A 24,545-nucleotide genomic window follows, 5' to 3' on the forward strand; every position below is an offset into this window, starting at 1 on the left:
CAAACTGGTGGTGCTACAGCTTTTGGTTTCGTACGTTTTAGGGAGACATAAGCCATAAATCAATACATGTAAGATGTAACATTGGTTCCGGAAAGGTGGGACAACTCGAAGGTGGGGTGGGGCTTCCAGGTCATAGGTGGATTCAAAGATTTTCTGGGCCGGGGGCAGTGACTCACACCTGTAATCCCGCCACTTTGGGAGGCTGAGGTGGGCGGATCCCTTGAGGTCAGGAGTGAGAGACCAGCCTGGCAAATACGGTGAAACCCCGTCTCTACTAAAAATACAAAAATTAGCTGGGCTTGGTGGCGGGCGCCTGTAATCGCAGCTACTAGGGAGGCTGAGGCAGGAGAATCGCTTGAATCTTGGAGGTGAAGGTTGCAGTGAGCCGAGGTCGCGCCCACTACACTCCAGCCTGCGACAGAGCAAAACTCCATCTCAAAAAAATTTAATTAATTAAAAATTAAATTAAATTAAAATACTGTAAAATACTTCGATATCTTTCAGGGCCTGCCATCTGTCATGTCGGTATCCTATTGCTACGGAGAGTCCGCCTAGACAGTCTTAAGTCTGTTTTGACGTTAATGCTGGTCCGAATTCCAAAGGGAGGAGGAGGGTCTAGTGAGGCGGGTCCCACCCGGCCTTTCCCATCAGAGCCCGAACTCGCGGTTCAGGTTCCCTCTAGGACGCCCTTGGCCGAGAGGAGGCCTCCAATGGCTGGCTGGGGGGCTTAGAATTTTATTTTTGGTTTACAGCGCAGAAGAAGAGCAGTGAGGCCGGGGCGCGGGTGGGGAGGGCAAGGCGGCGGCTCAAAAAAAAAGCCAGCCCCTCGCGGCCCGACAGAGTCTCGGCGCCCCGCGGGTCGGTGGAGCCTCAGGGGTGAGCGCAGGCCGGAGACAGGGGAACCCGCCGCGGGACAGGGGAAGGCCGGACGGAACGCGGGTAAGCTGCCGCAGCTTCCGGCCGGGCCACTAGCGCGGACCCTACGGCCGGGGCGGGACTTCCGGCAAGGCGCGGAAGCGGCGGTAGCTGCAGCTGGCGAAGTTGGGCGACTGGCGGATGCAGGCCTTGCGGCACGTCGTGTGCGCCCTGTCCGGCGGCGTGGACAGCGCCGTGGCCGCGCTGCTGCTGAGGCGGAGAGGTGAGGCGTCCGAGGCTCCCGCCCCCCGCCGAGCGAATGTGTCCCCGGAAACCTGTCCCCGTCCGTCGTGGCGTTGTGCACGTCTCCTCCCTCCCTGGGCCGCTGGTTGCGCGCGGGTCGGCAGGAGGATACCCCGTCCTCTGACTTTGGTTCGGAGGCTCCTCGCCCTCCACCTGTGTAGTCGGAGGTGTGCGCGACTGCAGCTCCGACTACCTGGGAGCAGTTCCGCGCCCCTCTCCACCCACGCGCGCCCACCCACAGTGAGAAGCCGGCGGGCCGGGGTGGGGTGGGGAGGGAAGGGTTTCTCACGGATCTGCGGCGTCCACATTCACCTGTGAGACCGTGGACACTGGTGAGGGGAGCTGGGATCGCCGGGCCGGGGGCCTGACCTCTGCACACGCTGTGGCCGCCCGGTGGGAGGTCCTTGTCCTCCCCACTCAGCAGACTGGACAACTGCCGCGCGGCGGGTCTGCTTGTTCAGCGTCTCCTGTGTTCTCCGCTCGCTGGAGGACAAAGTTTTCTCCAGGAGCATTTGCATTTCTTCCGGCATCTAAACGGAGCCCCACGGGTGCTTAGCATTCCTCGGGCCCGGCGCTGAAATGAGCACTTGTTTAACTTCACCTGTGTGGCTCCCCGCGGGAGGCCTCATTCACAGAGTCACGTTTGTGGAGCTCTGCTTTGCGCCATCTTTGGCTCCTGACCTTGGGCAAGTGAATTAAGCCGTCCCCTGTAAAATTCGGCTAACACCTGCCTCACGGGGTGACTGGAGGGATTAGATGACATAGTACATACTGATGAGTACGTGCTCAGCACATACGAGGTACGCAGAAAACAGTAGTGGCTATTAGTTTATATTGTTAATAACCATAGCTATTATGGTAGGTACAGTAAGTGCCAAAGAGAAGGGTAGGCGGACCATAAGCAGAAATAGTTGTGAGGAAGGGAGAGTGGAGGAAAGCATCCTAGAGATGGAGGTGCTCAGCTGAGTCGAAAGAAGAGTAGGATGTCACTAAGCAGAGACTTGGAGGTGGAGGCGGCCCTCCCGGCACAGTCAGCAGTGCAAGCAGAATCACAGAGGCCTGCAAGTGTGGGCTGGTTCTGGCCAGATGGAGATGGAAGGAGAGGAGCCTGGAGCACGTTTAGCCCTGATTATGGAAGATGCTATACCAGGGGCTTTAGACTGTTAGGTAGACATTAGTCTGGTTGATCTGGGATAGGGGTGGTCTTTCGCGTGTGGTGGTGTAGTTTTGACAAAGCTTTGTCATCAAATTTCTGTTGTTTTGGGTACTATATGAAGCCTTCTTCAGCAGTCATTTGCCCTGTCTTTCATTACATTCAGCCTACCTAAACGAACCAGCTTTCTCATACAGGGTCTGCACCTGTGTAGTTTGCTAAGGTGGTGTAGGGCTAAAGTTGGCCTTTCCAATATTTGGGTGAATATTTTGTTACAATCGAAAAGGTAGAAAATAGGTCATAAACTAGGTGGTACAGCTCTTACAAAATATCGAAAATTTTAATTATCTTTATATCTGATCACTTAGAATCTAAGTCTTAGATAGTAACTAGAAATAACTTTTGAAAAGAGTTTCCTTTTTTGATAACTGAATGGTGCTTTGAAAAATTTTGTTGAGTTTCGACTATTCCTTCGTGTATTCCACACACACTGGCTGATCCCCTCCTGCTAGGTATTGTGCTGATACATAGATGGGGACACAAAGATGAGAAAATACCACCTCGTTAATCTTGGGGACTCAGGCACCAAGATGGAAACCGGATCCCTGAAGCCACATGGCAAAGCAGGGACTGCCCGGCAGGCCAGGCACAGAGGCACAGGAGCACAGCGTGTGGGGAACTTCTCAGAGCTCAGAAATCACTGCCGTTTTACCGAAGGTTGATTTATGTATTCTCTTTAATTGACCTTCCCGCCCGCAGGTTACCAGGTGACAGGGGTGTTTATGAAGAACTGGGACTCACTGGATGAACATGGGGTCTGTACTGCCGACAAAGACTGTGAAGATGCTTACAGAGTTTGCCAGATCTTAGACATCCCTTTCCATCAAGTGTCCTACGTAAAGGAGTATTGGAATGATGTGTTCAGGTGAGTGCGGGTCACAGCACAAAGGAAGCTTCCTCACACTGTGGATCCTTGCAGTGGAAGGATCCGGTAACCAGCCAGACCGACGCCTGTGCTGCAGCCCAGCGCTCTCCCTCCACGGTGGTGCTGAAGACTGCAAGAGGCCTCAGCCACCCTCGGGGCTCTGTGTTAGAGGCGAGGCCTGGACCCCACAGCACACCCAGCTCTCTCACTCCTGTCATTTTGCCACTTGCCTGAAGTCTCTTTAATGCTTTCTTGGACCTTGAGCTGTTTCTGTTGCCCAGTTAGGATAGGGGAGCTAAGGCTGAGGGCTCCCCTGGAAGGTGAGCACCAATGCCTGTGTGCTATGTGGGTCAGCGATTAGGGGATTTCTGAGAAAGAGGTGATACATGGCCTGTGCCTCTGAAAACAAGAAACAAACAAAAACTTTTCTAAAATCCAATATAATCTCAATAATTAAGTGCTGTGTGCTAGGCGTGTGCCACATCTAGGAACATTAAGATGTCTTCACTGTGACCTGGCTCTGTAGGAGTTTGCGGTCTAGTTGGGAGGACATTATCTTCACAAGAGGTGACAGTGATGCGTGGCACGCAGGAAGTACCAGTGATGCTATCAGTCACTGAACCCAGAGGAGGGAGAAACTTGCAGTGTGGAGTAATCAAGAAGGCTTCACCGGAGAGGAGGGGTTGCAAACAAAGTTGTAGAGAAGGGACTCCAAATGGGGTAACGAGAGCAGCGTGAAGGGGAGAAGAAATGCTGATTGTGTATTTCAGGACCGTTGTAAAGTTTGGCTGGACTTTTGTTCCTGCAGTGGAAGGAGTGTAGGGCTCATCCTCTGGTGAGCCCTGACTGTGATGAATGTCGGGCAGTTGTCGAAGGCGTCTGACACAGCAGGCCATGTGCGCGGGACAGGCTGCCCCTGCCTGAGTGGGCTTTAGGGGCAGAAGAGCCTTGGGTTGAGTCCTGACTGTAGCTTATTATATGACCTTGGGCAATTTACTTGACTTTGTTTTTTTAATTGAAAAAAATTCTCTTTTTTTCCTGCCAACAAAGACCCAGAAGAGATACTTGACTTTTCTAAGCCCCAATTTTCTCATCTTTAAAATGAGGATAACACTGATGCCTCACAGGGTTATGAAAGAATTGAGATTAGGTTCTAGTATGTATGCCTGGTATATTAGTAAGCAGTCAATAAACATAGCTGTTTTTCTTTTCTATTTTTTTTTGAGACAGAGCCTCGCTCTGTTGCCCAGGCTGGAGTGCAGTGGCGCAATCTTGGCTCACTGCAACATCTGCCTCCCAGGTTCAAGCGATTCTCATGCCTCAGCCTCCCAAGTAGCTGGGATTATAGGCATGCACCACCACGCCCGGATAATTTTTGTATTTTTAGTAGAGACAGGGTTTCGCCATGTTGGCCGGGCTAGTCTCAGACTCCTGACCTCAGAAGATCCACTCGTCTCAGCCTCCCAAAGTGCTGGGATTACAGGCGTGAGCCACCACGCCAGCCTGCTATTTTTATTTTCATTATTAAAAAGATGAGTCTGGGGAGCTAAGCTATGAGGACGCAAAGGCATAAAAATGATATAATGGACTCTGGGGTGAGGGATAAAAGACTACACATCGGGTACAATGTCCACTGCTTGGGTGACGGGTACACCAAAATCTCAGAAGTCACCACTGAAGAACTTATCCATGTGACCAAATACCAGCTGTTGCCCAAAAAACCATTGAAATAACAATAAAACGAAATTTAGAGAGATTAAGTAAATTGACTATGGTCACCTAAATAATCAACGGAAGAGCTTGAATATGAACCCTCTGTGACTCTATGCTATAACATATGGGTGTCGTATATATTAACAACATGGACAAAACTGATGGCTGAATTTTCCTGGGGAAAGTTACCTGTAGAATGCATGATAAATGCATTAAAAACTTATCTGTAGAATGCATGATAAATGCATTAAAAACTTCTGCAGTTTTCTCGGGGACATAAGAAAAAAAAAAGAGTGTGGCGGCCAAATACAGGATAAATCTGGGGGAAGACCAAAGGCAGAGAGTCTCAGGAAGTGCTGTTGCTGGAGATTTGGACTTCATGGGGAGGGAGTGTGGGAGTGGAAGGTGAGGGCTGGCTTGTTGGACCCAGAGGACAAGTCCACCGGGCAGTAGATCTGAGGTGCTTGTTAAACACAGACCTGGACCGAGGTCTGGGGGCGGCCCTGGAATCTGCTTTAATAAGCACTTCAGCTGTGCTGGTGGTGTGGGGGGTTGTCAGGGTCTTTCTTTGAGAAAAGGTGTGATGCGGCTTAGGGACTGATGTGTGTGGGAGACCAGAGAGGAGAGGAGTCAGCAGTAGTTTCAAGATCAAGGCTGGGTGGCTGGGGAAAGCTGGTTTAGGGGATTCCTCATGAGTACTGTAGAGTTTGAGGGGACAACAGGGAATCCAAGTGAGCTTACACTTCACCTGCCAGCACAGCTTTTTCAGAACGTACGAGTGGATGCGATTTTTGAAGTTTAGCTCAGCTGAGGCCAGATAGGAAGAGTGACTTGAATAGTATGGCAAATTAGGAGCGGAGCTGGGATTAAACCCCAGAATTAGGAGCGGAGCTGGGATTAAAACCCAGAATTAGGAGCGGAGCTGGGATTAAACCCCAGAATTAGGAGCGGAGCTGGGATTAAACCCCAGAATTAGGAGCGGAGCTGGGATTAAACCCCAGAATTAGGAGCGGAGCTGGGATTAAACCCCAGAATTAGGAGCGGAGCTGGGATTAAACCCCAGAATTAGGAGCGGAGCTGGGATTAAACCCCAGAATTAGGAGCGGAGCTGGGATTAAAACCCAGCTTTCCAGGCCAGTGCTTGCTGCCGCCTTCTGGCGCTGCTTGATAGGGACTGAGAGAAGGAGGCGGCCGGGTAGAGTCTTTTCCCATCTCTGGGGCTGCCCCCGAGGTCGCCCCTGGCTCCAGCCAGCCTGCCCTCTGCCCTCGCCCAGTACCAGCTGCCCGTGGAGGCATTGGTCTTTCCGCTGAAGACTCACTTCTCTAGTAGGGCTCTCTAGCTCAGAGATTTCTTTTGCATTCTTTCATTCAAGACCCACTGGCCTTCAAGGATCAGAGTCCAGATACGTTTTAGCTGCTGAGTCTTTTAAATCTGTCTCCCTCCCGAGGCACATGAAAGGCTTCTCTTCTTTCCAGTTAGAGAAGAGGCTGGGCTACTCCATTGTTTTTGCTAATGCCAAAACACACGCCTTCCCATCTGCTGTTTACGAAAGGGTTAACAGTGTGTCTTTTCAGAAACTGATTTTAATGTTCAGCCTCTTCAACATTTATTGATGACTGTGATATAGAAAGTTTGTTGGGTCTAGGACACAGACACAGATTGCACCTTAAGTAGTTTATAGTTTAATGAGCTTCCTGGTAACTTTCTAATAATTAAAGCAAAATGGAAAGAGTGTAATAATATCAAGTGTTGTTGCAAATGTGGAAAAACATGAGTTTTTATGAACTTCTAGGGGGACTGAGAAGTAGGAAAACAGTTTGGTGCCTGCTAAAGTGGAAGATATCCAAGGAACCTCTGACCCTGTGCAGATCTGTGATATGTCTGCAAAACACAAACCTCTTGATCAGCACTGGTTTTTTTTTTAACCCTTGTTGATTAATAGAGAGTTTTAGGTTAAATGAAAAAAATCACTTATACCAAAAATACACCCATTTTTAAACTCCCAAAATAGGCATCATAACCCTCTTGAAGTGAATCCTCGAAGACTATGAAATTCTTGGTAAGTTTTGCTGGTATCATGGCATCTTTTTCCCATGTTCAGTCAGTCTGTTAGAGCAGAAGTTCACTGAATTAGGATAGCCTGATCCACTTTAAGCACCCAAGAGTTTGCTAGTTCTCAGAAGTGTGTGTTTGTCACCTGAGGATAGTATTTTTGGTATATTTGCCCAGTGACGCAGCATTCCAGGCTGAGATTGCAGAATGGCTCATGGAGCCCTTGTGTAGGGAAGCCTCTGACTGTGTTTCTCCTCTGTTCTCATCACGGCAGTCATCCTCACGGAAGAAGGCTTCTGTGACAAAGGTGTGGGGGGTTTTCCCCATACAGCAAGCAGTGGACACCGACTGGGTGTCCTCTGATTCAGTTCCGATACCATCTACTTGGAGATAGTGCTGGATCCCAAAGGTTGGGGGTTCAGTCCCCCAGACGGACTCCCCCCACAACAGCAGTCGAAAGTATGGGCCTCTAGAACTTATGACCAACTGGCTTCCAGTTGGGATTCCCATAACTTCCTCTTTGGGTTCAATTATTAATAATTTGCTGGAGTGGTTCACAGAACTCAGAAAAACACATTTACCAGTTTATTATAAAGGATGTTGCAAAGGATACAGATGAAGAGACGGGTTGGGTGAGGTATGGGGAAAGGGTCATGGAGTGTCCACACCCTCCCTGGGGACCACCCTCCAGGAGCCTCCACAAGTGTAGCTGTGCAGAAGCTCTCTGAACCCAGTACTCCTGGGTTTTTATGGAGGCTTCATGACATCGCCATTCCTTCCCCCAGGATATACAGTGGGACTGTGTCTGGGGAGGGTCTTAAGACCCACAGTCAGAAAGGTAGACGCTTGTAATCCTAGCACTTTAGGAGGCTGAGGCAGGAGACTTGCTTGAGGCCTGGAGTTCAGTATCAGCATGGGCAACATGGCAAGACCTCATCTCTATAAAAAAAGAAAAGGTTGCAGTGGGCCAGGTGCGGTGGCTCACGCCTCTAATTCCAGCATTTTGGGAGGCTGAGGCGGGCAGATCACTTGAGGCCAGGAGTTGGAGACCAGCCTGGCCAACATGGTGAAACCCCGTCTCTACTAAAAATACAAAAATTATCTGGGCATGGTGCTGCGCACCTGTAATCACAGCTATTCGGAAGGCTGAGGTGGGAGAATCTGCAAGGGAAGTCTAAAGGATTTCATTTCCACTGTCACTCAGGCATCTTCTCTTCCTCACCTAAGCCCTGCTGTGTTGGAGGAGTCCCAGAGGCAGGGTTTTAGTGAGACCCTCACGGCCACTCCCCACTCCTGACCCCATAAGCCCTGTGAGCCTACACAGAGACGGTGGCTCCTGAGCCGTAGTGGCAGAGAATAACACCTTGTCGGGTGGCCCATGCAGCAGGTTATAAACAAATGTTCGATGACTGACGTTCTCCTGTTTTGCAGAAAATTATAGTTTTGGTATGACAAGGGGAAATTACATTAAACAAGCAATTTAGTGAACTTTTTTTTTTTTTTTGAGGAATGTTTCACACTTGGAACTGAAGTCATTTTCTTTTATTCTAGTGACTTTTTGAATGAGTATGAAAAAGGAAGGACTCCCAATCCTGACATAGTTTGCAACAAGCACATCAAATTTAGTTGCTTTTTTCATTATGCTGTGGATAATCTTGGTAAGTAATTTGGGTTTAAAACATTTTTTTTTTTAAAGACAGGGTCTCGCTCTGTCACCCAGGCTGGATTGCAGTGGTGCGATCATGACTCACTGCAGCCTCGACCTCCTGGGCTCAAGAGATTCTCCCACCCCAGGCTCCTGAGTAGCTTGGACCACAGGCATGCCACCATGGTGGCTAATTTTTTGTGGAGATGGTGTCACAACTGTATTGTCCAGGCTGGTCTCAGATTTCTGGCCTTAAGCAGTCCTCCTGCCTCGGCCTTCCAAAGTGCTGAGATTACAAGCGTGAGCCCCTGTGCCTAGCCTGTTTCTTCTTGTGGAACCTCCTGATACTGAATTGCTTGCTTAGACCACCTCTTGATGTCTGTGGCTATGCTTTATGAATTTTAGGTTCTTCTTCCTGTCCCCTGCCATTGGGGTCACCATAATGAGTTTCTGAAGTTCTGGCTCAGGCTTCTTGGTTTGCTCTGTCCCACTGCAGCTCACCCTGTTGTGTGTTGCTACGAGATACCATTGTAAGCCAGGGGCCCAGTAGTGTCGGCACTTTCAGCAATGATGTAGATTAGGCTTGCAGATTCAATATGTCAGCAACCTAAAGCTGAGTTGATGATAATGATGAAAGTTAGTTTGTGGAGTTAGGAATAAACAAATGCCTACAAAAACAAAAAATCAAAAAGAAAAATCTTAAATTTCAACATTGGGCTAACACCAAAAACATGAAACTTAATAGAGATAAATGCAAAGTTTGCTAACTAGGTTCAGTAATTCTCCTAGGACAAGATTGGAAAGACCTAGCTTGGTTGCCATTGAATCTTCTGCCATTGGTTGCAGAAAATCTGGGGGATTTAGGTGCCCCCAGGCTGACTGAGCCAGTAGTGTGATGTCTTTTGTCAGAGCCAGCACAGACGGAGCTCACCTTGATGATCATAGAATGTCTAGGAAGGGGTGATGCGTCCCCTGTGGTCCGTCCTGGTTAGACCGTATTAGTTATTCAGGAAAAGAGTGATAGACTGATAGAATGTGAATTGATTTTTATTTTCAGGGTATCTGGAAATATGTCCTCCCTGAACTGTTGAAATTACTTTGGGTCGTAGTGGCAGTGGTCAAGCGTGTGAGTTAGGATGACATTCTTTGTGTGACACCAGCAGACAGTTAGGACTGGCAGGAGAAAGAGTTCCCTGAGGTGGAGGCGCAGGCAGCTGTTCAGGAAGGGAAGGCTTGCCTTTGGAGAGCATTAAGCTGTCACGAAAGCTTTTTAGGGAGCCCCTAGGTGGCTGGCTGTCAGGCACGCTGTGGAAGGAACTTCTGCAGTGAATGTTTCCACACCTGGAAGAAAGGCATGAACCGTGCAGCACAGGATGAGAGGACATGACGCCCAGACTTCTGAACTCACCGCGCTTCTCAGAGGCATCCTGCGCTTTTTCTAGTATAAGTGCTGTTCTTTGAGGACACAGATGTAAAGTGGATTGTTTTCTCTAGGAGAACCTCAGTCAAGATGAGATTATGTGTCTCTAAAGTGCCTTTTTCAGGTCGTTAATATGCAGCAGCTAATTCTTGCTGTGTCTTCTGTTTACATGGAGCTAGTGTGGCTGGTCCAGGATGGCTGTGTCTTCTGTTTACACTGAGCTAGTGTGGTTGGTCCAGGATGGAATCCATTTTGCTGCACCTTTCATAAAAGTCTCTTGCAATACTAAATATCTGTAATTTTTTCTTTTTTTGAGATGGAGTCTCACTCTGTCTCCCAGGCTGGAGTGCAGTGGTGTGATCTCGGCTCACTGCAACCTCCACCTCCTGAGTTCAAGCAATTCTCCTGCCTCAGCCTCCCAAGTAGCTGGGATTACAGGTGCCCACCAACATGTCTAGCTAATTTTTGTACTTTTTTTGTAGAGACGGGGTTTCATCATGTTGGCCAGGCTGGTCTCAAACTCCTGACCTCAAGTGATCCACCCACATCGGCCTCCTAAAAGTGCTGGGATGACAGGCGTGAGCCGCTGCGCCTGGCCCAAATATCTGGAATTTTTACACAATGAAAAGGTTCTGGATTCATATGCACCTTGTTAGGCTCTTTGGCTTTGTGTAATATGAAAAGAAGAAACAGTGTGCTGGATGATTCTTCACTCTGATGAAAATAATACATATTTATTACAGAAAATTTAAAAGAGGAGAAACGACACCTATAATTTCACTCTCAGAATCAAAGGAATAGACCTGAGATTTTTCTTCAACTGTTTCTGTACAGTAAAAACCGTGGAATCATGGTGTTACATCCTCGCCCTGCTGAACAGTGCCGGGCATTTTCCCGTGTTAGTAAACATTCTCTGTAAGGACCCCCATTGTTACGGCAGTGCATTGTCATTCACTTCACATTCTCCCAGTGTTGAACATTTTGGTTCTTTTTTTTTTTTTTTTCCTCCTGAGACAGCATCTTGCTCTGTTGCCCAGACTAGAGTGCTGTGGTGCAGTCTTGGCTTCCTGCAGCCTCAACCTCCCAGGTTGAAGCAATCCTCCCACCTCAGCCTCCCAAGTGGCTGGGACTACAGGTGTGCCCCACCACGCCTGGCTAATTTTTGTATTTTTTGTAAAGGTGGGATTTCACCATGTTGCCCAGGCTGGTCTTGAACTCCTGAGCACAAGCAATCATCTGCCCGCCTCGGCCTCCCAGAGTGCTAGGATTACAGGCATGAGCCACCGCGCCTGGCCTCCCTTCGTATTATCACAAACCCTGAAAGGAATATTTTGTGTTTAAATCTTTCTGTGCCTTTCAGACTGTTTCCTTAAGCCAGAAATTAACTTTGGAAAGGCTCTTAAAGGTGCAATAACACTTTAAGTAGCAAGGTTGTATCAGCTTAAGAGTTCAAGGCTGCTTGTTTGATGAAATTGGATGTGTGCGTCTGTTCCCTGGGATCTCTATGTTTGGGTGCAGGGTGGATTGTGCAGCCCCTCAGCCTAAGACTTGGGGTCTATACTCTTCTTTTGTGCCTTGGTTTATGCTGATCAAGGCCTGCAAGTATGAGTCTAAAACCTGATCCTTGTGTTCTAAAAACCTCACAGGGGCAGATGCCATTGCCACAGGTCACTATGCAAGAACTTCCCTGGAAGATGAAGAAGTCTTTGAGCAGAAGCACGTTAAGAAGCCCGAAGGGCTTTTCAGAAATCGGTTTGAAGTTAGAAATGGTAAGTTCATGTGCCCAGGTCAGAGCCAAATTCTTGTGAACAGATTGAAATCTTTGGAGGAATGACAGTGGGTTGTGCCTGAGGATCACTGCCACCCCTCCCTCTGTGCTCCAGAGTAGCTTGTATGGGATTCACATTTGAAAAGGTGCAGTTACCAAGAGGACATTTTCCCGGAGGGCCTGTGATTGGGTAGTAAACAGTGTCCCTGCCGGCCATGGTGAGGGCTGGTGGAAAGTGACATCAGATACTGATAATCCAGCTCTCGACACTGTGTGGTGATTTGAATGTTCCAAAAATATCTGGGTAAATATTTGACAGTGATAATTGGGGTGCTGTCAGTCTAGCCAAGGACCTGTACTTAGCAACAAGTTCTCAAGGGCGTGCGGTTCAGGCAGACTTTCAACGTGCTGTGAGCACAGGACCTGCTGTGGATCGCATGGGCTCAGCAGTCAGGCTTTGTAGCCGTATTTACACGTTAGTTTATGCGTGTTAGGGAGCCAAGTTTCACCTTTCTAGAAAAAAGTCAATGGCAGACAGTGAGCTGGGAAGCTGCTGGCCTGTCCTGGTGTACATTCGTGTGTAGAAAAGAGGAATTCCCTGTATTGTTGAGTGAAAAACCAAGTGGGGCTCAGAGCCGTGTTTCCGCACGGAGCGTCCGTCCATCAGTGGGGACCCCTGAAGGGCAGCCTTGCTCTTTTGTCCGGAAGTTCAGATGTTGGAGGGAGCCTTGTCCCGCCATCTGGGGAATAGGGGTCTCTGGGGCTGGGGCAGGGCTTTACATACACACATTTCTTTTTTAATTATTATTATTAATTTTATTTTTTTGAGAGAGGATCTCACTCTGTCAACCGGGCTGGAGTACAGTGGCCCGATCTTGGCTCGCTGCAGCCTCCACCTCCTGGGCTCAAGTGATCCTCCCACCTCAGCCCCACCAAGTAGCTGGGACCACAGGTGTGCGCCACTATGCTCGGCTTTTTCATTTTTTGTAGAGATGAGGTCTCGTTAATGTTGTCCGTGCTGGTCTTGAATTCCTGGGCTCAAGCGATCCTCCCACCTCGGCCTCTCAAAGTGTTGGGATTACAGGTGTGAGCCACCAAGCCCGGCCTCACACGTTTCACATCACTCCTCTTAGCAGTCCATGAGGTGTATGCTCTCATCCCGTTTCACAGATGAGGAAACCGAGGCCCGGATGAAGCCATCTGACCTGGGTCCCTCGGGTGGCAGAGCTGGATTTCAGTGCACTTCCGCTCACTCCCCAGCCCCTGCTGCTTCTGCTGGGTCAGGCCCCAGCTGAGTTCTTTCCTCAGCGTTGCTGAGCCCATCCTGAAGGCTGCAGTGATGGGGCAGGGCCGTGCTTGGTCAAGGGAGCCCTGAGTGTGCCAACAGTCGTCTGCCGCCCTCTGTTCCCTCCTCGCCTTCCTTCCTTATGCCACAGGGTGATCAGGTAACTGTACTGACTTGAGCCCAGAGAAGAGCAGCCCACTCCCGTAAGACAGCCCCCCATTTCAGGAAGACATGGGTTTGAATGCAGATAAGACAGCCCCCCATTTCAGGAAGACATGGGTTGGAATGCAGAGTCCTGCCACTTGGGAACTCCAGGGTGGAATTCACCAAGTAATTGTGCATTTACGGGGCCTGAGGAGATGGAGGGTTAATTTCCATGTTGAATAGATGCGCCTGCTTACCTCCTAGAACATTACCTCCTAGAACACTGTGTGCCCTGCAGAGCCATCGACCTTTATTATAGGCCACGTGCCCTCGGAAACTTGGGACAGTACTGATGCGTTCTGTTGAGTGCGTTTGGCATGTGGGAATTGTGATGGTGCACAGTGTCTTGGCCTTCACTGGGTTTTGTAGGCACACTAAGGTTTCCATTTCATTCTTCTTCAGTTGCCCTGGCCCAGCCTGGGTCTCTGGGTAGAGCACCTGCAGGGGCAGTGGACGGCCTGGGCTCAGGGTCGGTCAGCACCTGAGACCAGCGCTCCTAGGCCTGGCCTGTGACTGGGCTGATTTTCCCCCACACAGCGTGCTACCACCGGCCTGGCAGAGCCAGCACGGCAGCCGGCGTGTCAGTGAGGCTCCAGCACAGGCAGCCTCCTCCAAATGTTGTTCATTCCTTTCTGTGCTTTTTCCTCTATAGCAGTTCAGTTAGGGTCGCCAGCTTGCTTTTTTGAAAATCATAGATTTTTAGTTTGTTTTAAAATGACGCAGAACTAGGAGAAAATGCAAATGGCTCCTAGTTTTCTGAGGCTTTTACACACATGCAGTGTTTGACTGCAGTTAGTTTGGGATTGAAAGTGGACTCTGAGGCCAGGTGCGGTGGCTCATGCCTGTAATCACAGCACTTTGGGAAGCCAAGGCAGGCGGATCATGAGGTCAGGAGTTCCAGACCAGCCTGGCCAACATGGTGAAACCCCATCTCTACTACAAATACAAAAAAAAAAGTTAGCCGAGTATGGTGGCACATGCCTGTAGTCCCAGGTACTCTGGAGGCTGAGACAGGAGAATCACTTGAACCCAGGAGGCGGAGATTGCCGTGAGCCGAGATGTGCCACTGCACTCCAGCCTGGGCGACAGAGCGAGACTCCATCTCAAAAAAAAAAAAAAAAGTGGACTCTGGAAAGTGCTCTGCTTCCGTGGCGACTGGTCGGCTGAACTTGGTCTCACTTGTCACTCAGTTCTGCTGTTTGTACCTGCCAAGTAAGGGAGGGGGACTCGGGAGGCTGGGCAGCCTCCAGCCCCACCGCCTCCACCTGCATCACTTTGGGCGAGTCATATGTGATGAACTGGGCCGGCTCCAGTCTCCCCTCTGTAACGTGGGGAGAATTCTCCCTCTCACGGCTAACGTGGGAATCGGCAGATGGAAAACACTAGCTACGCAGAGTGTGTACTGTACACGTGGCTCTGCCAAGCCAGGAAGGGTAGGTGTGCTGTCTGACCGTCACGGCATGTGGCGTGCTCTGAGTGTAACTCGAAAGGAGAAGTTTATGAGAAAGATTGAAAGAAGCCAGAAAACTGACGTTCGTCTTAGTTTTTTGCCATTGATCATTGAACTCGAGAGTGGAGAACTGGACGGTTCTAAGCCAGGTTTACTCACACCTCTGCTCCGTTGCCTTAAAGCCAGAAATGGTTCTTTACAATCACATAGGGAATGTCGGAGGAACTGCAGGGTCACCTAACAGATGTCAGCTGAGACTCTCAACAAAAAAACGTTTTTACCAAGAAAGCTAATGCCTTCACAGGTAGGGCGCTGCTGGAGGCATGTGCTGGCCGCCGGGCAGTGAACCTGGAAAGTGTAGAGTCCTTGAAACCACTGTGGCACGAACACATCCTGTGGTTGTTGGAAGAAGGCACAGCTGACACTATATCAGTGGAATTTTCTGCCAGCAACTAGCTTACTCCATTTTCCAAGATTTGGCTGAATTTATTTTAGGTGTTTTTTTTTTTTTTTCTTATCACTTGAGAACATTTTTTCATGTGATGTTTCATCTTTGAAAATATTATAATCTGAAGTATGAGCTGGAATAATTTCTTTGTCATGTAAAATCCTTGTTTTTTTTTTTGGAGGTGCGAATTTTTCTTACATTAACCCGTGGTGGTCTTTTCCCTAGTAGTTGCTATTGAGTGTTGATGTCTGCCTCTGACAGGCTAGGGGTAGTCTGTCTAAGTGAACAGAAGGACATTGTTGAAAGTGAAGTATCATTATTTTTATTCCTGCATCGTCTTTTGTTCTTTATTCTTGGCAGCGGTAAAACTCCTCCAGGCAGCTGACAGCTTTAAAGACCAGACCTTCTTTCTCAGCCAGGTTTCCCAGGATGCCCTGAGGAGAACCATCTTCCCTCTGGGGGGATTAACGAAAGAGTTTGTAAAGAAAATCGCTGCTGAGAATAGACTTCATCATGTGCTTCAGAAGAAAGAGGTACGAGTGAGCAGTTGCCTTTGATTAGTGCCTGTTTCCCTTTCCCGACTGCATGGCACGGAGCAGCTGGACCTGTGGGTCCCGCACCACTTCCCCTTCTCCAGGACCTAACATCAAAGGCGGGCCTTGGAGCAATAGATGGAGGAGTTTGCTGAGGCGCACGGTACAGGGCTCTGCTGACATCGGGAGCAGCCTATACGAGACTCCTTGCTTTTTTCCTCTCCTCTGCCCCTATGTGGTAGGCAGCTTTCCCCACAGCCTTAGCAGCTGGTGGGGTGCTCTTGGGATGGCCTGCCTGCCAGGTGAGTGCCAGGCAGTGTGATGCAGCCCCGAGACCCCTGGAGGGGCAGGTGCTGTGCCGCCGTCTGCACACTCATGTGCCCTGTCACCCGCTTGCCCGGCACAGACTCGTTCGGTGCCATCTGTTCGGGCGCTGTGCTGCTGGGCCGCGAGGAATTGGTGACGCGCACACAGTTCCATCTTCGCCTCCATGGAGCCCGCCCGCGAGTGGGGGACACAGGCAGGAGGCCAATCAGTGTAAACCTAGAAAATGTCTACGGAGGGAGGTGTAGGACCCTGGGTGGGAAGCACCAGTGGGGTCTGAGAGTAGGGAATGGAGATGCCAAAAACGGCCTCAAAAGAAGTCACATGGAACCTGAGACCTGAAGGAGGAGAGGATCCGGTGTCCCAGAGAGGGCTGGGAAAGTCCAGATGAGGGAACGGCAGTGCAAAGGCCTTGAGGCGAGGAGAAGCCAGGGAGCCGCTGTGGGGGTGCCTGCCTGTGGCCCCAGCTCCTCAGGAGGATCGAGCGCACCCAGGAGTTTGAGGACAGCCTGGGCAACACAGCGAAACTCGTCTCAAAAAGAGAGAACCCGGAGTGTTGGCGGAACTAGGATGAAGCCCGTGGGAGGGCCTTGGGGATGGAGGGCGAGGGCGCTGTGGGATGAGCCTCACCTCTTCAGGGGCCAGTGCGGTGGGAGCTGTTGCTCCTTCGTGTCTCTTCCTGGTAATGGAAACGGCCATACCTTTCATCAGAGCCATCTTCCCTGAAGAGCACGCCCACCGCCCGTCCTCCTCTCCTCTTGTTTTCCGTTTCCGGTGTCGCTCTGTGGTGGGAGCCGCAGGGATGGAAGGGCAGTCTTGAGAGACACAAACCAGAGTAAACGATGCAGCCCCTGATGGGGCCACGGTGGAGAGCGCACGCCACCCAGGCTCCCCAGCTAGGGCAGATGTGCTTGAGGAAGGCGCCTCTCTCCTCTGACTCCCCTGGAGCCCTCCCCTAAGGCCTTAGCTTCAGGCCTGGCTTTCCTGCTACCTGCCCCTTCTCTGGTCCCTGTCTCTCCCCCACTCCTCGCAGGACAGTGGCCTGAAGGACCTGACCGGGTTCTGCTTTCTTCCCCGGGGCAGCTGGTGTGAGGGTCTCCCGCGCAGGGTCAGACCCCGCGGGCCGAGACAATGAGGCGTTCTCTAAGGCTCTGGCATCGTGTGCGCCGGCTGTGACTGGCGGCCGAGGGTGCCGGTGGGCAGCCGGGCCCCTACCCTGGAAGCAAAGTGTGGGGTGAGGCCGGGAGGCCCCAGGGCCCGCTCAGGACGTCTGGGTACAGCTTGGGCCACCGCCACTTCTGCTCCTCTCACGGCTGCCGTCTTCTCATTTCAGAGCATGGGCATGTGTTTCATCGGGAAGAGGAATTTTGAACATTTCCTTCTTCAGGTGCGTGCTGCTCTTTGACACAAAGAGATGGGGCTGCGTGTCTGCCCTGGGCCTAGATCTCCGTCGGTAATGACATGTTTGTTTTCCAGTATCTGCAGCCTCGACCTGGTCACTTTATTTCCATAGAAGACAATAAGGTTCTGGGAACACATAAAGGTGAGGTGCAGACTCTGCCACTTGTCATCTGAAATGCCTAGAGCTGTGGCGTTTCAGCTCTGGGAGACTAGACCAGAGTTCCTGTCGTCCCTTCCACTTGGCTGGAGAATTGTAGAAGGCTCTGTGGGGCGGCCGGGGGCGGGCACGGCCTAGGGTGGAACAGTTGCCTTGATGGTGGCTGGGTGCACTTCCAGATGTGGCCTCAGCTGAGATGCTGGAGTTCATGAAAAGCGCGCCTCTGACTTGGAAGGACTATACTCTGTGAGTTACGTATCAAGTCCCTGTAAAAAGAATGATTTCCTTCCTGTGTAAGGAAAATGTTAAACTACACAAAACTCCACTCTGATTCAGGGAGTAAGGTGGACGTCCCGGCATGGTGTGAATGATTAAGGACCACATGCAGCGATGGGATCAGGCGTCCGCGCTGGCCAGAGTGCTGCTCGCTCATGTGCAGACCCTTACTGCGGTGAGGCCTGCGTGAGCCTGTGCTGTGCCTGGTGTCAGGGGACAGGCTCCGAGTCAGTCACAGTGTGCAGTCCTGCTGTGGGGACAGAGTGCAGCCATTGTTGGGTTAGTACAGTGGCGGGGATGTGCCTGCCGGCGTGATGATCAGGCAGGTCTTGACACAGCACAGACCTGAGCTGTGGGACTGGCCAGGAGAGCCAGGCTGCAGCTCAGGTGTAGGGCGTCTTGCAGTGAATTGCACTTGGAGATCTTCCACCTCTTGTGGAGGGGAGACGGCAGGCGGAGCCGGGGCTAGGCATTCCTGAGACAGGTGGAGGTGACAGCTTTGCTTGGGACAGAACTGCCAGACAGGATTGCCCATGTATCTGCCAGCCCTGGCCCCAGCAGGAGCCAGTTGGATGACTCATGGCTTCCACCTGCAGTTCACTTCACTGAAGAAGGCTGCCGGCCCAGGCCACGTGGTAAATCCCATGAGGTTCTCTCTGCCTGTGTGCCCCACTGCAGGGGAGGGAGGCAGTGAGTTTGCCATCTGCTGTGTGACATTGTGAGGGTGCGCAGAGCAGCTGGGGGTAGCCCTGATGCAGTTACTGCATTAGATGGACACTGTGAAGACGTGCAGCTATGTCATGGGCTCAGCAAGAAGGGCCCCTGGCGTCACACAGGGCACCCAGCCGCATCCTGGGCCTAGGGTCAGGGGCTCCTACAGCTGGAACCTGCACCTTCTGGGGCACAAGGTGCCTTCTTTGTGGCCACCACACCCCATGTCCAGCCCAGGCCTGGACAATGATGAGATGTGCTCAGGTGCTTGGTCAGGGCTGGCTTTGGTGGTTGGAGAATCGTATCTTCCTAGTGAGTTACACCATTGCTGGGCCTGCTCTGGGCTGCCCTCCCAGCATCTGCCTTCATGATGAGGCGTGACATGTGGGCTGTAACTTGTTGCCCAGCCTCATGGAGAAACTGTCTTTCTGTAGGTTGGTTCCTGTATACCTTGGGCCAGAGAGCAAACATAGGTGGCCTGAGAGAGCCCTGGTACGTGGTGGAGAAGGACAGCGTCAAGGGTGACGTGTTTGTGGTGAGTGGGCCGGCCTCTGAGACAGCACTGGGGCTGGTTCTGGCAGGGCCAGCAGTGCTTCCAGACCAGGGCTTGAGAAGGCCTCCAGCAGCCGTGGCTTCCTGGAGGCTGTGACTAACTCTGTTCCTGTCCTTGGTCCCCTGCCTTTCCTGGGACTGGCCATGGTGGCAGGAGAGTTTTAAGGTATTCATTAGGCTGAGTTGTATGCTGGTCTCTTAATCATCCCTGAACCCCGATACACAGATACAGTTTCTCCAATTTTATGAAAGAGGACAGCGACGCCCAGAGCTTGGGTGGCTCATCCGGTGGAGAGGGCATGGCCTCAGTGCCAAGGATGGTGCCCACCATGGTAGGATCCAGTGAGTTGTTGTCAGGCAGGTGCAGATGGCCAAGCCAGGATCAAACCAAGCCTTCCACCACAGTGGGGACCTTACCACTGTGACCCTGGCCTCAAAGCAGGGCCGCTCAGTGGCGGCAAGCTCACCCCACCTTCAGGGGACCTTGCCAGTGTCTAGAGGCATTTTTGGTTGTCACAGCTTGGGTGGAAAAGCAAGGACGCGGGTGCTGCTGCATCTGTGGGTCAGGCCGGGGATGCTGCTTGCCGTGTTCAGCACAGCCTCTTCCCTGAGTGACCCGGCCTCCACCTTGGCGCGTGGAGCTGAGAAGGCCCACTCTCAGCACCCTGGCTGCCGGCTCATGTTCTGGCACGAATGCTGGGGCGCCTTCTCTTAGACGGAGGCGGGGGCCAGCAGGCCCCACCCACCGATTCCAGGACATCTCCTTACTAGGAAGACCTGTGGGGAGAAAAGCCTGGCTGCGAATGAATTAAATGATCTAGATTTCAGTTTGCTGTGAGAAGACCAGAAGGGTTAACCAACGGCCTCCTGTCCCTGGACGGGTCTTGGTGCCTGCTTAGAACCCAAAGCCCTTAACTTCATGCTCCTCGTCCTGCTTCAGGGGCGGGGCTTGGCACAATCCCAGGAGGTGCCAGGTCTCAATGGCCCGAGGCCATGGGTGGGTGACAGGGAGCAGGGGCCTCAGAACCAACCTAGGGTATCTGGGGCCCCCCAGACCAGGGCCAGTCCTGGGGCACCTGTGGGAAGCCAGCAGCTACCAGTCCCTCCTTTCTCCTCAGCCATTTGGTGTGTGGAGGAATTCCTGGGGTGGCCTTGAGAGAAGAGCCCGTGGTGTGGCTGGCCCCTGTCCCTGCGAATAGAAAAACCAGTCCTCGAGGGGGGCCGTGCTGCTGCCCCACAGGTGGTTGCAGGTAGAGGGCCTGAGTCAGACTTGAACCTGCAGCATTCACTGTCATGGGCTCGGATCTCACCCCTGCCTCTTGCCCACTCTGACATGGTACTTCCTTCCTGGGCCTTAGTCTCCTCATCTGTAAAATGGGGATTCAAAGGCCCGGCGGGTGATGAGATGAATTTCTGTGGGTAGAACACTTCGAGCGGTGCCAGCACCGTTACCTGTGTGTGTGTGTGCTGGTAGGACAGTTGTTCCCAGGGACCACACTGAGGCCGGCCTTGGGGCCAGGTGCCCCTCGGCGTCCCCACCTTCACATTCCATTCTGCAGGCCCCCCGGACAGACCACCCAGCCCTGTACAGGGACCTGCTGAGGACCAGCCGCGTGCACTGGATTGCGGAGGAGCCTCCCGCAGCACTGGTCCGGGACAAGATGATGGAGTGCCACTTCCGATTCCGCCACCAGATGGCACTAGGTGACTGACGGGAGGGCTCCTGAGGACGGGCCCCTTGAAGCTGAGCTTCCTGAGGCCAGATTTGGGCCAGGGATGGGAGACCCTGGGGTAGGAAAGTCCCGTTGTGGAGATCATTTGGAGATTACCTAAAGTATTTAGAACTCCCGTGTCCTGTGCCTGCCCTGAGCGAGGCCTGGGGGTGCTGGGAGCAGATGCAGGCAGGCCCCGGCGTGTTGGGCTGAAGCAAGTGTGTACACTGCCCCGCAGTGTCCTGCTGCGTCCAGGGCCCAGGCTGGTGCCCTGCCCTTCCCCTCTAAGCAGGGGTTTTTGACCCCGTGGGCTGGTGCTCCTTTCTCCCTGGGGGCCTGAGGTCGACCAGGAAAGGCCTGTGCCCCCTCCAAGGGCCCCTCTCTTCTACCCAGTGCCCTGTGTGCTGACCCTCAATCAAGATGGCACCGTGTGGGTGACAGCTGTGCAGGCTGTGCGTGCCCTTGCCACAGGACAGGTGCGTGGGGTGTGGGGGTGAGCCCGGGGAGGACTGTACTGCTCTGCACCCTGCCAGGGCACCCGGGTTACAGAGGAAGGGGCTGAGGCCCAGGAGTAGGGTGTGCTCGGGTCACACAGCTGGTGAGGGCAGAGTGCCACCAGCCCTGCCCTGGGGGCTCCTCCCACAGTGACAACTGTGAGAGGATTTCCACTCTGGTGTCACCAACCAGCCAGTTCCTGCTCGGGCCCTGAGAGGCTCAGCTGCTGCCCGGGCCCCAGAAGCGAGGACAGAAAATGGAAGGGGCATGAGGACAGTGCTCAAAGAGGCAGAGGGTCGGGGCCCCTGTGGGCCGAGTGTGCAGGAGCTCCCAGGGTGGGCGCCTGGTGGGTGTAGGCCTGAGGAATCTCCAGGGGCAGGTGGTGGGAGGGAACCTGGGGTGAGGGAAGCGGAAGCATCCTCTGGCTGCCACCATGCTCCTTCCTGTCACAGCTCCACATTCCCAAGGGGTGCAGAGACCTGCCAGTCCCTTGGAGTCCCAGGAGAGGCCCCTGTGACTGTCCCACTCAGGGAGAGGTACCCTGAAGACCCTCCCTAGTGAAGCCACTGGGTGCCCCAGGCCTCTCCTCTCCTGTTCAGCAGCAGCAGCAGCAGCAAAACCCTGCTCCCCTGGGAGCTCAGTGCCTGGTGCTCCGAGCACAGGCCAGGCCCCATAGGGGAGCACTCTGCCCCTGCCTGCCCTCGGCTGGCTCCCTGTGGCACCCCTGATGCCAGGGTCTCTCCCCTACAGTTTGCTGTGTTCTACAAGGGGGACGAGTGCCTGGGCAGCGGGAAGATCCTGCGGCTGGGGCCGTCTGCCTACACGCTCCAGAAGGGCCAGCGCAGAGCTGGGATGGCCACTGAGAGCCCCAGTGACAGCCCAGAAGATGGTCCAGGCCTGAGTCCCTTGCTCTGACAGAGATGGATCTGCTAGAAGGAACCTGGAGAGCAGGACCCATGGCTGGGCGGCTGGTGAGCAGTCCAGGTGCCCAAGGGCCAGCTTGCTGCTGCCCAAAGCAGAGGAAGCCGGGCTGGCTGAGGGTCCGAAAAGCCTGCAGGGGCCCGGCGAGCCCCAGGAAGAGCCTCAGCTCCAGGCTGGGGCTCTGGCTGCTGGAGCATCTGCTGGCTGGTGGGGTGGCCCGAGTTCCCCTTCACCGCCCCCAGGGAGGGTTTCCCACCTCAGAGTACACCGAGGGGACCTGCAGAGGGGGCTGTCGGGACAGCGTGGAATAAACATTATTTCAAGGACACATAGTCTGATCGCTGCTTCCACTGGGGCCCAGGGGGCTCCACATCACTGACTCCCTGGCGTGGAAAGGCAGGTGGACTGCAGACGCAGCCATGGCAACCTGCGTACCTCTCCCTGAGGTCCCAGCTGCTCCATCCTCTGCCCCCGTATCCCTGCTCCTGGACTCCAGAGTAGGTGCCTGCGATGCTGACCTGTGTCCTTGGCTCTCTTCCTCTTGCTGGGCTTGAGTCCTTCGTAGCGTGTTGTTGGTGCCTCAAGACAGGTTCCTGCGGGGACCAGAGGTGCATTCCCCTTCTCTGGGTGGGAAGGTTCCAGAGGCAGCCAGGTGGTGCGCAGAGGGCCTTGCCCAGATGCCCTGAGTTCTTGCTGGTGCGTCAGGGTGGGGGCTGCCATGGGGCCCACTGTCCATCCTGACCCCTCCTCCCATCTCCCCACTGGGTGTCCCCTGACCTGGGGCACCCTTCCTTCTAGCCTAGGCCCCCACGCAGCAGGGAGTGTCCTGAGGGTGAGGAGTGGGCCAGAACCCCGCAGGCCAGGTGAGGAAACGGGGCCTAAGGTGGAGCCGTGGCCCTTGCTGGGCTGGGGTGGGGAGGTGGGGGGTGTGGGGTCAGTGCTGCCCTGGCCAGGGGCAAGCCCCAGCTCTACCAGGCAGGCAGAGCGCTGGCCAGTGGGACCAGACAGGCCCCTGGGGATCCTCGGCCCAGCTGGGCATGGAGGCCGAGCTAAAGCGCCGCGTTTGTTCTGCCAGCTCAGCCCAGCACGGAGCCTCCCTGGGCTCAGGGGTTCCCTGATTTATGGCTGTGGTCGGGCCTCCAGCCTGGGAACTGAGGGTGGGAGAGCCCTTGTGGTGCCTACTGCTCTGCCCTAGGTGAACCCTCCCAGGTCACAGAAACATGAGTAGGTGGGAGGTGGGGCAGCCAGGCAGAAGGTGGTGTGGGCACCAGGCCAGCAGCGCTAAGGCTGCCCCCGCTCCAACCTCCAGCGGGCTCCACCGTCCTGCCAGCCTCAGGGCCTGTGCATCGGCCAGTGGAGGAAGCGGGGACACAAACCTGCCTCTGCCCCCTTGAGCCCCCAGGCTCCATGGTGACAGCTTCCTGACTGGCAGGGCTCCCCTCTCTAGCAGGCACAATGGCCTGCCCTGCCCCCTACAAGGCCACTGGCCAACTCTGGAGGGCTTTGGTGCGATGTCTCAGAGATTCAGCAGAAACTGTTGGCCAGGGGACCAAGTCTCCAGGCTGCTCTTCTGGCCTCTTTCCTACCCTCCCCAGCACCCAAGGCTGGCACACTCCAGAGGCTGTGCCCCTCAGATGACTTCTTGAAGACCTGGGGGCCTCCAGGAGCACAGGTAGCTAGGTAGCCCCTTCTGCCTGCAAGGGTACCCCCAGTGGCCTGGCCTTAGCCCCTTGCCACACCTATCCATGAAGACGATGGGGGAACATTTTCCAGGCCAAGAGCTGGGTGCCTGTACACCTACACCTACTCCCTGCTTGTGATACAAATGAAAGCAAAGCCCTCGCTCTCCTCTCCCCCTACGTTGTTCCCGGATAATCTCAGTGATACATGGGTCCTAGGATGATGCCCCCTCACCTCACACCTGGGAGGCTCCTTCCCGAGGCCCTGAGCTGGTTTCAAACACCCTGAGCCTGCCTTCTCCCCAGTCTCTGGCTCCCATGTTGCCCTGTGCCGGAGCCTTGCCTGGGCCCAAGCCCCTTCCTTCTTGGGGAGGTTTCTTTTTTTTTCTTTTCAAGAGACAGGGTCTTGCTCTGTTACCCAGGCTGGAGCGCAGTGGTGTGATCACAGCTCACTGCAGCCTTGACCTCCCAAGTAGCTGGGACAACAGGCATACACCACCACACCCAGCTAACTTTAATTTTGTTTTAGAAACAGTCTTGCTATGTTGTCTAGGCTGGTCTT

The 24,545-nt window shown here is 53.3% G+C and overlaps 1 protein-coding gene across 12 annotated transcripts, besides 4 other annotated features; it reads left to right on the plus strand.

Moving 5' to 3' along the window:
- Positions 1,006 to 22,632, plus strand: TRMU (tRNA mitochondrial 2-thiouridylase). 12 transcript variants are annotated; one of them, NR_104240.2, is made up of 11 exons: positions 1,006 to 1,138; positions 3,071 to 3,236; positions 8,554 to 8,660; positions 11,714 to 11,836; positions 15,638 to 15,755; positions 17,413 to 17,466; positions 17,556 to 17,622; positions 19,059 to 19,159; positions 20,736 to 20,880; positions 21,282 to 21,364; positions 22,134 to 22,632. NR_104240.2 is itself a non-coding variant. In NM_018006.5 (11 exons), the coding sequence occupies exons 1-11, from the start codon at positions 1,057 to 1,059 to the stop codon at positions 22,296 to 22,298; spliced, it is 1,266 nt and encodes a 421-aa protein (NP_060476.2). In that variant the 5' UTR covers positions 1,006 to 1,056; the 3' UTR covers positions 22,299 to 22,632. The 12 variants fall into 12 exon arrangements, 10 of the variants coding, with proteins under 10 accessions (NP_060476.2, NP_001269714.1, XP_011528574.1 ...); NM_018006.5 differs by having other exon boundaries at positions 15,583 to 15,755; NR_104241.2 differs by lacking the exon at positions 8,554 to 8,660.
- Positions 1,044 to 1,263: an enhancer, noted in NCBI's record as "active region_19235". NCBI's record gives its function as "activates an Ori minimal core promoter by ATAC-STARR-seq in GM12878 lymphoblastoid cells {active_cell/tissue: GM12878}" and the evidence as "EXISTENCE:reporter gene assay evidence [ECO:0000049][PMID:35858748]".
- Positions 1,044 to 1,595: a biological region, named in NCBI's record as "H3K27ac hESC enhancer GRCh37_chr22:46731701-46732200".
- Positions 1,096 to 1,595: an enhancer, noted in NCBI's record as "H3K27ac hESC enhancer chr22:46731701-46732200 (GRCh37/hg19 assembly coordinates)". NCBI's record gives its function as "activates a minimal SCP1, AML or CMV promoter by ChIP-STARR-seq in naive and primed H9 embryonic stem cells {active_cell/tissue: H9 hESC(naive and primed)}" and the evidence as "EXISTENCE:reporter gene assay evidence [ECO:0000049][PMID:30033119]".
- Positions 1,404 to 1,453: a silencer, noted in NCBI's record as "silent region_13910". NCBI's record gives its function as "represses an Ori minimal core promoter by ATAC-STARR-seq in GM12878 lymphoblastoid cells {active_cell/tissue: GM12878}" and the evidence as "EXISTENCE:reporter gene assay evidence [ECO:0000049][PMID:35858748]".

This window comes from Homo sapiens, chromosome 22 (assembly GCF_000001405.40).
Source record: "Homo sapiens chromosome 22, GRCh38.p14 Primary Assembly".
Lineage (NCBI taxonomy): Eukaryota > Metazoa > Chordata > Mammalia > Primates > Hominidae > Homo > Homo sapiens.

What these genes read in the sequence shown, in the direction of transcription:
- TRMU (NM_018006.5), top strand. Translation starts at nt 1,057, where the DNA reads ATGCAGGCCTTGCGGCACGTCGTGTGCGCCCTGTCCGGCGGCGTGGAC. An exon ending in TTGAACATTTCCTTCTTCAG is followed by an intron (nt 17,467 to 17,555) that starts GTGCGTGCTGCT and finishes TTTGTTTTCCAG; the next exon opens with TATCTGCAGCCTCGACCTGG. An exon ending in GTGCCCTTGCCACAGGACAG is followed by an intron (nt 21,365 to 22,133) that starts GTGCGTGGGGTG and finishes TCTCCCCTACAG; the next exon opens with TTTGCTGTGTTCTACAAGGG.